This window comes from Homo sapiens, chromosome 5, assembly GCF_000001405.40.
Source record: "Homo sapiens chromosome 5, GRCh38.p14 Primary Assembly".
Lineage (NCBI taxonomy): Eukaryota > Metazoa > Chordata > Mammalia > Primates > Hominidae > Homo > Homo sapiens.
This window is the reverse complement of record NC_000005.10, coordinates 88,933,003-88,945,708: the sequence shown is the minus strand read 5'-3', so window position 1 is coordinate 88,945,708 and position 12,706 is coordinate 88,933,003. Positions and strand designations below refer to the sequence as shown.

General features: G+C 37.2%; 1 long non-coding RNA gene across 9 annotated transcripts in view; it reads right to left on the bottom strand.

Moving 5' to 3' along the window:
- MEF2C-AS1 (MEF2C antisense RNA 1) overlaps positions 1-12,706 on the bottom strand; it is a 584,252-nt gene that overhangs the window by 521,873 nt on the left and 49,673 nt on the right. For 3 of the 9 annotated variants that reach the window (NR_136218.1, NR_104031.1, NR_136220.1), the window contains exon 3: positions 2,587-2,693. The exons of 5 other annotated variants lie outside the window; for them this stretch is intronic. This is a non-coding gene — a long non-coding RNA (MEF2C antisense RNA 1). Of the gene's footprint in view, positions 1-2,586; positions 2,694-4,338; positions 4,897-12,706 lie in introns of those variants that run through there. One more of the 9 variants, NR_109940.1, reaches the window with a different exon arrangement.

Genomic DNA, 12,706 nt, shown 5'->3' with positions numbered 1-12,706 from the left:
CAAGATGTGGACACTGATGTCTAAATGGTGCATCAGGGAAATGGCAAGTGCCTTCACAAGAGCTGAAGGAGGAAACAGAACAGTCCCCCTCGTTCCACACAACGCAGTATACCAGTGGATATCCCCTCTGGTTTATAGGTGACAGAAAGAGAAAATATTGAGCAAAAATTACACTAGAAGGGAATGAATAAGTGGAACATCCTCTGAATCGGTCTCCTCTACTCACGAAGGAAAGAGGAAGTATTCCACCCGCACACTGGGCATTCTGTTTCTGTTTTGTAGGCTGTACCCTATCCCTCTCCCCACTGGAAGGCGATGGGGGAAAAGACTTTACCAAAGCACAAGACAGAATGACCCAGAGTGCAGTTTTGGAAGACCGCCAGCTCCCTAGCATTAATGTGGTCCCACTTAATTCCTCTGGGGTGGACACATGTAGATGTTTAGTGACAGCAAGCTATCACAGCAGCTGGCATACAAGGAACTGAAGTGGAGTCACTGCAAGTAGGATGGACAGAAGAAATGCTCTAGAAAATGCTCAAGTGTAACTTCAAGCAACGTTGCATTGCTTTGGAATGCGGGAAACCACAGGAGTAAACAGGCCAAGCTGGCATGCAACAGGCACAAATAAAGCAGGACTCCTTTTTTCTTTTTTTTCCTGACCCAACAGAGAAGCCAGATCAAAGCTCTGGAGTGGTTGGCAATACTCTACAAAGTATTGATTCATTCTGTTAACAGCTGTTTATTGCATACCTACTATATATGTTGCACAATCTCCAATACCAGAGTATGACAATGAGGAAGACACAATTCCTTCCTTTGATGCACAGAAACCTAAAGCCACCAAGCTACGATGTGCAAAATATATATATAATTTCACTTTTTCCATAACATTTTATCTTCAATTTGAAGCTCCCATTCACATTGTAACAGAAATAAGGTCTGCTTCTATCCCCCTTTCTCCTAGATTGCCTCTAATTTCCAAGGAGCTTAAAAAGTGCCAGGGACTGTGAAGGGAAGGTGAGAATGAGCAGTCCAGTCTTCATGTCGTCATCCGTCCTCACTGCTCTACGGGGAAGCTGCCATCCCTTCTGCCCTGGTCTTGGTCCATGTTCTTCAGTGGAGAAGCAAGACTTCCCCAGGTCCTGCTCCATCTTAGAGACTGTTCCCTTCCTCCCTGGAAGTTCTCTGCTTCTTTATTATTCCAGGCATTGTCTGGGCTTTTTTGCAGACACCCACCAGCATCTAAGCCCTCTTCGTTCTTTCTCAACTTTCTTCTTCAGAGGCACAACAGAAATTGACCCGTTATGCTTTCAAATCTATTTTCTAAATTTGGACTTTAACTTTGAGTTACAAAACAAATACATCGATTCCTTTATTGTCTTTTGTTTTCCTTTGCTGTCTCCTCCCTAATGTATTCTGGTTTCCTGAATGCAGAGGCGGGTTAGAGGTTGTAAGAATATTAGGAGGACAGAAGCATTGGTTCATACCTCAAAAAACTTATTCCACTACAGTGGAGTTCTGTTCTCCTTTGGGAGGATGGGAAAATTTTCCTTGATGAGATAACATATAAGTGGGTCTTAGAAACGGATAGGTGTTTACCAAAAGAAGAAAGTAAAAGAGAATCAAAGGGATAAATACTTCACTTGTAAACAAAGTTAACCCAACACTCATTTTAAATCACAAAATAGTATCAGATTTAAGAACAACATGCAGATTTCATAGAAAATGAGGATTAAATATCATTACCTGAATAAAGTGTCTACCCTGAGTAGAAAAATGAACCATCTGCCACTATACTTTATGTGGTTAAATGTCTATTTAAAGTTAACATCCCGTCATTCACTTTAAAAAACAGAAAAGCTTTATTTAAGAAAAATGTAACTTAAAGTAAGGCCCCAAAGCAGAGGTCAGATACAAAATTAAGAATTTTTTCCCTTTTCTTTCTGTGGCAAAAGCGTATTTGACTAACGACTTCCATTAAAATAATGGAGCAATGTAATATTTCTTTGTGTATGAAAAGAAATCTTTAACAACATTGACACTTTTGGATTAGAAGTTTTTAGATGCATTTTGCATAACTAATTTGACCAACTATATTGGCAAAGAAATGTGGAAACACAATAGGCAAAAGCAGGCTTTTAAAACCACCCATCAATGTTCAATTTCCTACCAGCAGTAATACAAATGTTATCAACACATGTGTAACCTCCCTTTACTACAGTGAGAGTTGTTTGGGTGTCCATGCACGGGAGAAAAGAATCCCAAGAACATACATCCCTCTTCCCAATTTACATTTTCAGTATCCTGAATTTAAGCTTGTTCAATGAATCTGACAGGGAGTGCTACTGAAGTCTCAACTCCAAATAAATAGTTTAAAATAAAAAGTTGTATAAATATTAGTCTGTGCCAATGGTGCGGTTTGAGAGGGAGTGCTATAAACACAAAGTAAATTAAATGGGATCTACTTTTGTGGGGTAAAAGCCTACTTAGACTGGTTATTATAGAGAAAATTTTGTTGTGTGGTGCGACAGCACGTACCCATGTGGCTAACCTACAACTGCTAGAAGAAACAAATCCCACCCATACCTAGGAGCGGTGCCACAGCCAGACCACAATTCCTATGAGGGATGAACTTAATTTGCTGAAAATGAAGGCCAGGCTCTGTTGCAGCTCATTAGCTGGTTACAGACACACTGCAAGAGAAGAAAGTGGAATTTAGTCGATGTTCCAACTTCTACATGTGCTGTGAATAAAACAGACTATTGTTTTTTTGATAAAGAAGTATTGTTTTGAATGTGCAGATTGGCTAAGTAAAGCCAGCAGAATTTTTTGGCCAAATATAGTCTCTTGCTCACTCCTAAAAATCCTAGCTTTCAAATTAGGAGCTGAAGTCATTGAAAAAAAAAAAAAAGTTTACATTCCTGCAGCCTGCTGCAGCAAAGCCAAACAAATGTTTGGCTTAAAGCTCACTTACATCTCTTTCATGAGCCTTTTTTTTAACATGGAAGTCTGAAAAATACCATTTCTTTTATCGAGTCATTTAATGCCAAGTGGGGAGTGTGTGTGTGTGTGTGTGTGTGTGTGTGTGTGTGTGTCTGTGTTTATGTGAGGACACGCACACTCAGCAACAGTACTATAGGGTCAGTGTAGTGGTTTTAAAGCATGTGGGTCATATTTGAATTTAAAGAAACCATGGTTTTACAGCTTCTGGCATAATTTAGGTCACAGTCACAAACTGTGATTTTTTTTAAGCATCATTAACCACTGAATGGACAAGGAATGTGTTATTTTCAAGGAGTTTCTTTGGTGCCAGTTCAGGCAATAAAAACTTAAGGACAGGGTCAAACTGGGAGGGTAACTTTGTATGTAGTTGCCCTCCTGATGCACTTTTTTACCATAAAAATTGGATGCTTTTTGGCCTTCAGTCTCTAAGCCCAAAGTGGATAACATGAAGTAACAGCAACAATTTGTTGGAGGCAGGCATGTTGATGGCCAATTTTTGTATAGTCAGTAGGACTAGTGATTTGGCACTCTGAAGAGTCCATTAAAGTGACAAAATTGCAGAACTGAATAAGCAGTGGTCTAGTATTTTTGGGTTCACAGATTCTCCTTCCAATATTCTTCATAGATCAGCCAAATTTTTGCTAGAATACAGTTGAGTTTTGTTATAATGATGACATTCATATTAAATAAATTCCCAGTCTGAGAGCAGAAAATGAAATGGTTTAAATCAAACCTCTTTCTGAGTCAGGGGCCACTGACTGACAGTGTGTGCCCAGACCTGGGGAAAGGGAAACAGAGGGAGCCATGTGAACACCACTCTCATCGCCCTCTCCCAGCTCGCTACCAGTTTTGCATGCTGATTGGGTTATTTTGTTGGCAGGAGTAATTTGCTAGTGAGGGTTGATTTCCCAAGTGCAAATGATTGGTGTGTTTGAGGCATGTCAAGAGGAGGAGAGCAGAGAGTAAGTCCTCCTGGCCATACTGTCACATGATGGGTGGCTGAGGGCCTCCTTAGGCCAATTCTAGTTCCCTTCTCAACCTTTAGACACTAAACAAACAAGTAAGTATTTTCATTACAGAAGACAGTTGTTATATGGAAGGAATAAAATGAAGCATTTACTATAAAATATTATTTACACACTAAATTATTTTTCCGTGTATTATTAAAAACATTTTTATCACATTCCTGGAATTCCCAAGCTCTTCAGATGCCACTTGGGGTTTGTTGTTGTTGTTGTTTTGTAGTGGGATTGGCTTTAGCAGAATTTTACCTGCATAGGTTTACATACATAGCTTACATCATCAGTATAATAGTGAACACATTACCATCAGAGGAAGACCAGAAGAGATGTCTTTATTGTACATTTTCCCAGATATTCCAGATATCAATGCTTACACTTTTGAAGATTGTTTTCATACAATACAATCTACCAAAGAATGTTTTTAATTTATGTCAAAACCTCTGAAAATTAAATGTGGTGAGGCTATAAGAAGAACAAAGAAGGTCACCTTTTGAGAGAATGGATGAGGACTGCCTTCAGTTCTAAACACAGGATCACCTCATTAACGAGATGTGCCCCCAGGCATGCACTTTCCAAATAAATATTTGTTGAGTACATAAACAAACACTTTAATTTTACCATTTTTATTAAATAGTTTCTAAAATGTTTTATAAATGCCCTTGCCTCCTTAAAAATTACTTTTAGAATGAAAATGTAATTGTTTTGTCTTGTGTCATCACTGTGAATACCCACTGCTGTGTTACATAACCATGTGTCTTGTCTGCCCTTTAAGTTGGTTGCTTTCTCTTTCAGTTCCAAGTTCTCAGTTAAGATGTTTCTACTGCTATGCTGTGCCTGTGTCTAATAACATTTCGCATTCTTCCAATCTGTTCTAAAATAGAAAAAGATCTTTGTTAACAATTTATGCTAAATAATCATCAATATGACTGTGGATGAAAGGATATATAATTACAATTAGATAGGAGAAATAAGTTCAAGAGATCTATTGTACAGCATGGTGACTATAGTTAATGACGATAGATTACATTATTTAAAAATGAGAAGATGGTGAATGTTAAGTGTTCTCAGTACAAAAATGATAACTATGTGAGGTAACACATTTGTTAATTAGCTAGACTTAACTATCCCACAGTGTATGTATACTTCAAAACATCATGTTGTGGGCTGGGCACGGTGGCTCATGCCTGTAATCCCAGCACTTTGGGAGGCTGAGGCGGGTGGATCACAAGGTAAAGAGTTCAAGACCAGCCTGGGCAAGATGGTGAAACTCCGTCTCTACTAAAAATACAAAAATTAGCCTGACGTGGTGGCAGGCACCTGTAATCCCAGCTACTCGGGAGGCTGAGGCAGAGAATTGCTTGAACCCAGGTGGTGGAGGTTGCAGTGAGCTGAGATGGCACCACTGCACTTCAGCCTGGGTGACAGAGCAAGACTCCGTCTCAAAACAAACAAACAAACAAACACACCCATCATGTTGTGCACAATAAATACATAATAAAAATTTTTAAAATAATAAATTTTCTAGAAGTTTTATAAGAGCACTTTCTGCCAAAGAGTTTAAATTGTCAGTATTCAGTATTCAGTACTACCAGATCAATATTCAAGTAAGTAAAGGACTATTGTAATCTACAAGTCCTGACCACCTCTAGGCTACTTCAAAAAGTCAAGGATTACATATTGCAACTAAAATTCTAGTTAATCACCAAATAAATTTTCCCTTGAAAAGCATTTAAGTTTTGAGACTAACTTATATCCTAAGCTTCTCAGATCTTACCTCATATTTGAACATAATTTGACAGTTTACAAATAATTTTCACATAATGTACCATTCCATTTTACCTGTATAACATGAGTATGTTTGACTTTTTCAGGTAACAAGGAATGGAAACATATTCTGGTTACTTTAAATTACTGCAAGGCCTTACAGGAAAGAGAGGAAAACAAGCATCTGTAACACAAGCCTAATGAACATTAGAGATCATTCAGGGATGCAAAGATTGTTCAGAGGGCTGAGTCCTCATAGCCTGCTTACCCTGTTGTCACTTTTGCAGAAAGGACATGTCTCTGCCTTTGCTATGGCTTCACCATCATTCTCACCCATTTTCTTATTTTAGTACATTATTAGTAATATTAAAAGCTATCGAATAAAATTTTAAAAATATTTTTAAACATTTTCTTTTTAAAACATATTTTTAAAAATGTAATTAAAATACTACATTAAATATTAAAGTATCTTTAAACTAGAAAACTGTTACGAATATTTTCAGTACTGTATGAAAGATTAAATGGTGTATCCTTTAAATAACCCAAAACAAAGATGTCACCTGATTATTCCTACCTCTCACATACACACACAAAATGATTCACAGGTGAAAGTATTGAGCCTTTGAGTGTGAAACACTTCTGGCAAACCAAAGATAACTTTACCTATTCTCCCTAATGTTCCATGTATGATTGGTGTCCGATTAAAGATACATACATGAGATGATAAGACTTTTATTTGGTCTAGAGAAAGAGGAGCTGTTTAGTCATGGAGCTCAACTCTCACAACAGAATGTCAGTGTCTAGTCACCTTGCAGTCTTGACTGCAAACTGAGCACTCTCTTATTATTAAGTACTTTCACTTAGAAGAAACCACCTTTCATAGAAGACAGACTCAAAAAATCTCAACCAAAAAACAAAAACAAAATGAAAGACAGGGACATAAAAGTCAGCAAGAAACACTGAATATTCTTCGGGGGATGAGGAAATGTATAGCCTTCGTTTTACGATTCCCAGACCAAGTCTACTTTTGTAAAGCAATAGTCTTGGGATCTTGAGAAAACGAGCAACTCAAAAGGAAGTGTGGTGGAAATTTCCAAAACACAGAGAGTCTGTCTGGATAAAAACAGTGAAGACAGGCTTCTATATTTAATGACAGGGCCTGGGTTGCCTGTCTTCTGTGATCACTGGCTCTGTGTGGTACACTTTGGTAAGTTTATGATGGTGTAATCCCCTGATGAATGAAGCACTCCCTTCCCTTCAGTGCTGTTTATTCTTAGCTTATGCACACAAAGAGCAAAAAAAGTTGTCAACAACGTATCCAGTTTATACACTGAACACACTACTAACAGCCAGCTGACTCAAGTGAACCAAGAAGTTCTTGTATCCTGAACGTCCTTCCTTCATTCATTCACACACACAAATATTTACTCTGCACCTACTATGTGCCAGGCACAACAACAGAAGAGGTTAGTTGGGGAAAAGTGTAGAACAGGAACATGACAGTGGTAGAGAGGGGAGGAAAGAGGAAAAAATAGTTTCTGTTTGTATTAATAAAGGGGGAAGTTGTTTTCCTGACATCCTGTAAAAATCTGTGACTCTCAGTCATATTTAAAAAGTGTTCGTTTCTGATTTGAACCATAATATGCAGGGAGATGTCCCTGTGTTGGTTTGCCCTTTATTACTGCTCCTGAAATTCTCATAGGAGGTGAAAAATACATCTATACTAGTTCTCTAAAACAATTCAAAACTTAAGAATATGCAACTCCATATATTTCAAAAGCAGAGAATGAAGACAATAAAAAGACTTATTGTTTAAAAATTAGCCATTTGATAATTATAAAAATCTCTTATGTGTCCATTTTACAATTGGAAAATAAACATATTAAAGTAAATATGATCATAGCACCTAAATTCTAATACCTCTGATGTAATAGCTTGGGAGAATAATTGGAGGAGAATGGAAGAAAAGAAATTTTAGCTGGAATTTAGAGTTGTGGATCATTCTATATCTTTAAAAATGAAGTTCTGCCCTTAGGGAAAAAAATTAGTGGTTCTGGCCTATAGCAGGCTGTTTCAATATCACTCTGTGCATTGGGACAACTGAAATAGCATTTGTTCAGAAATGTTTCAAGTCATGATTTCTAGAAGTCACCCCACTTATCATTATGTCAGAATATTTTTCTTCAGTCCATTAGAAGCAGGCTCTGCCTTTATGCTGCTTTCAAGGATTCCAAAAGTTCACTCACAATGCCAGACTACAATAAAATTCAGCGTAATGTGAACCACTCAATGATATTGCCTTTCCTTATTGCCTTTCAGTTACACCATTCTAAATGCAATAAAGAAAAAGTTGTTCTGTATGGAACAGATAGAGAAATGAGTATCATTCCCCGAGTTGAAAAGTCACAGGCTGTAATACACTAACAGCTTAAAGGAGAATTTCTCATATTGATGGTTGGTTACGTGTGTTTGAACATCCGAGTAACCTGAAAAGCATATAAGATTGCCGATTTCAAATCACGATGGTTTTTATTTGGCACGCATTCCACAATAGGCAATAAAGCAGTGCCCCCGCCAGCTGCAAATGTATCTACCTGTTCTTCTGGAGAGCAAACCCAAACAGCACTGGGGTCATAGGAAAAGAGAGCTAGTGGCCACTCACACTGCGGAGCAGCCCTGGGAAAGTGCAGCGATTCTTTCTACATCGTGGCTTGACTCTCAACAACAGGTTGGAGCTATTCAGGAGACCGTAAACCCAGCAATGCCTTTCAGTGATGCCAGTGGGGCCCCAAGTGATCTTGGGCAGTTTGCATAGAACCTTCACACAATCTGACCTGTCCCTCTGCATGCATTAGCCTGAGGTAAGTTTCTTGACAGGAAGGCAGGTGCACAGGATGCAGCCTAGTTTTCTGTGTCTTTTGTGGACTCTCAAGCAAAGCAGGAGCTTGAGGATAGCAGCGCTGATCTTTGTAGGTGATATTAGATGCATTTCAAACATAAAAGCCAGATTTAAAATACTCAGACTATATAATGGTTATTTTACATATGGTCATCTGTTTATTTGAAGATGAAGAGAGGCATTGTAGGACAACTCTTGGCGTATAAATACCAGTAACCCCAGTCATTATTTTAAGTGTTTCCTTTACCTTCAAAGAAAAAAAAAAAAGCTAAGCAAAAAATAAAAATAAAAAATAAAGCAACTCAAAGTGACATTTTAGGAGTAATTATACTCATATTTTGAAGTAACTTATCTTAAGATATGAATGATTCTTGTCCAGCTCACATCTTGTGTAGTTTTGTGTAGAATTCCCACTAACAATCCCTTTGCCCCCGTACTTAAAATAAACCCATCTATTCCTTCTCCCAGAAAGAAAATAACAAAATTCTCAATGGTTGCAGTGAAATTATCCCCTGTGACATGAGTGAGTCATCTCAGCCACTGCAGGCAAACTTGAAAACTTGTTCGTTGCTTTCTTTCTAGAGGACCTGCATTACTGCCATCAGACTGGAAAACATGCAGCTTTACTTCACTTTATGCACCAGACACTCTGAAGAAGTTTTCTTTAAAGTTAATGCTTGCACATAATTGACTTTCACCAAAGAGTTAAAGCTGCAGATGCACAGAAAGGAGTTTGTCTTAAAAACATTTTTAATTTCAGTTAAGAGTTTTAATATTTGCCTCAATGGGCATTTCTTGTGACTGTTTTTTCCTACAAAACTATTAACTCTGCAAAATAGCAAGCCTGATTCTGTGCACTTATTTAAAGCATACATATTATTAAAAAAAGCACCCACATTTTCTCATATCTTTGCCAGTTGATCTTTAATATTTAAGAAGTCATACTGGCTACCCCAATTTTACAGGTATTTAGTAAATGTTCATTTGTTGAAAAATCATTGTGAAGATTTTATTAATTAGAATTTACCAGTCTTACCAGTAATTTTACACAATATATTCATTTGTTAAGTTTCTTTTTCTTTTCCATTCTACTCTATTACATTTTTAAGAGATGCAAGTTCCATAATTTCTATGTATGAGGTACCTATTTGGTGGATTGATTCCTCAAACTATATCCTTTTTATTTAAATCAATAAAAAGATATAACAGAGTACCTATTATTTATGACACATTTTACTTCATGCCAGTGAAATGAATGATTTTTTATAAAGTTAATCCATTTTTGCTGAGTTATTTTCAAAAACTTTTTCCAAAAATACATCTTAAATACTGATTTTTCATTTTTCTGAATGTATATTAGATGTCACATGCATTAGAGAAATTTTGAGTTACTCTAACATGAAAAAAATACCTACCAATATTAATGGAGCTCTTTAAAATTAAGAATCTCACATCTTTCCAGTTCGAGACAGTATATTTTCTGACACAGGTTTTCAGAAACACAACAGGAAACATTAGCGAGTGTATTACACATCCCTCTTAAAGGTGTCAGTGCTTCCCATTGTCTGTAAAAAATCTAGAAATACAATAAAAAGAAAGCCAAGAAAATCTATGTACAATGCCATATGCTCAGCCAAAAATAATTAAATCTTAGACTCAGGCCAAAAAAAAAAAATTACCAAATGGTTATCTTGGTGGGATCAGCTCCCCCCATAAAGACTGCAACCAAACTGATGACCTCAGAGAGATAAGCTATCCCTTTGGCACCACTGCTCAAATGAGAAGCAGAACCAAACATCCTGAGACTTGTTTTAAACAAAAAACAATATAAAATAAAGAATCAGAGGAACTGAAAGAAACTTTAGAGCTCATTGGTGATAAAATCACCTATTTTCATGGAATAAAATAAGAGCTGGAGAAATCATAACATTTAGGTATTATTTAGATATTTTCATTGAAGACTACAAGCTCTGAAGACTCCAAAGAGCAAAAAGAATAATTTCAAACAGTTGACAAATAATGAAAATAATGTTTAATTCTCAAAGGGCTTTAAATTGGTCCTCAGTGATGGCCATATAGTCAGCATAGTTGCGATAGCCCTGGCAGTGGAAATTACTGGATCTTGGAGATGATGTTTGCCACCAAGATGAATGGCAGAGTTTTGTCAGTTACCCAATTCACTGAGATGGAGGAGAGAGATGGTGGGAAGCAGGCCTTCCCTCATGAACCTACACATCTTACTTATGAAGCCATGTGTTGTAATTTTATCTAAGCAAGAAGGAATGCACATAAAAGTGCCTGAATTGTACCATAAGAGCTTGATCTAAAACACAAGCATGGAATAGAGTAATAAATTATCACAAAGTGGAAAGCGGTAACACTAGTAGTTCAAAATTCATAGTCAGGAAAGCAATGCTATACACACTAAAGCCGCAGGAGCCCCAGACATACTCTTATCTTGGATAGCAGAGCAGTACAGAGACACACGCTCAACCCTGAAGAATTTTGTCTGTGGAAGGTAATGACAACCAGTGACAAAAGTAAAGAAAGTCACAATATGGCATTTTAGGGGAGAATCATTCATTGGGTAAGGGAAATTGTCTCCATTGCAGTTCATGGCCTAAAGGACAATGCTTCTATGAAAATTCTACAGCTTTTGCGGTAATCTTTCCTGTTCCTCGAGCTTCCAAAGCCATTGTCAGTCTGGGAATTTCTTTGAAGATTTCCAATAATCCAGCTACAAAATCCAGAGTTTCTAAAAGTTATTACCTCAAATTTCCATAGTCAGGTTGTCAGAATTTGTCAGCAGTGGAAGATGCCAGATAGGAATGACTATGCCCTGAGACCTGGCACACCCAGTGGCCTGGCAGGGCAAGTATTGGAGGTGCCTACATTGCAGGTGAAGACTGGGCTTGTCTGGGAGCTCCACGGTGAACTAGTGAGAGCTCCAGGGATTCAGAAGCAGGAGTTTTTATATATATGTATAATGTATGTGTGTGTATGTGTGCGGGGAGATATTAGCGATGTCCCCAAATGCTAAATTCATATTTTTACCCTGTGTTTGGATCTTCATGTATACTCACCTCTAAAGGTCACACTAAGAGTTTGAGAAATAGGATGGTATGTATTTAACAGAACAGATTCCAGGAAAAGAATCTTGAGAGAAGAGAGACAAAAGGGTTTCTCTTCAGACAAATGGTCTGATGGGGTACAGAAAGAGGCAAGAAATGTCTGAAAGAATTTGGAGGTAAGGCCAGACTAGGTAGAACTATACTGAAATAATCCCACAGTCTAAGCCTTTTGATCTATTTTTAATAGTATTTTCTTGGACTTTCCAAAGTTATATTATCAGCTATCATGTCTTGTTTCTTTCATTTGCCTGAATCTGTAATCTGTGATTGCAAATTTGAGTAATTTGCCCCTTTAATCTTCTAAAAACATAGAAACAAACAAAAAAAAGCCTGTTAGAACTACAGGTAGGATAAGAATAGGCTCTGTCCAGGTAGAAGAATAAAGGGCTCTTTTACCATTATTGATATTGTGAACTATTTTTCCTTTGCATTTTTAGGCTATTCTCATTATTTCTTGATTCCTAGCTATAGTGTCATGTTTGAAATTGACCACTTCTTATATGAGGTATTAGTATTTTAGGCTTTGTTGATAATTTTTTTCTCTACAAACTTTAGTTCTGAATTGCATGGAATACTTTTAAATAAAAATGGTGGGCATATGGTTCTGCTACTTCTTTATAAATTGCAATGTACCCAAATTAGCTTTTCTATATGAAGTGTGATGCTAAAAGCAATGATTCTAGCCCCACAAACTAAACTGCACAAGAAGATAAATGCATCATTTAAGGTAAATGAACCTTGTAAGGGCTATTGAATGTCAATGATATGCATGAAGAGCATTTCATTTGTAAATAGATTTCTCAACATGCCTGATACGAGAGATTCTGATGACAGGTGGACTCTCCATAATGATTGAAGCTGGAGCACAGATATTCTACAAAGTTACA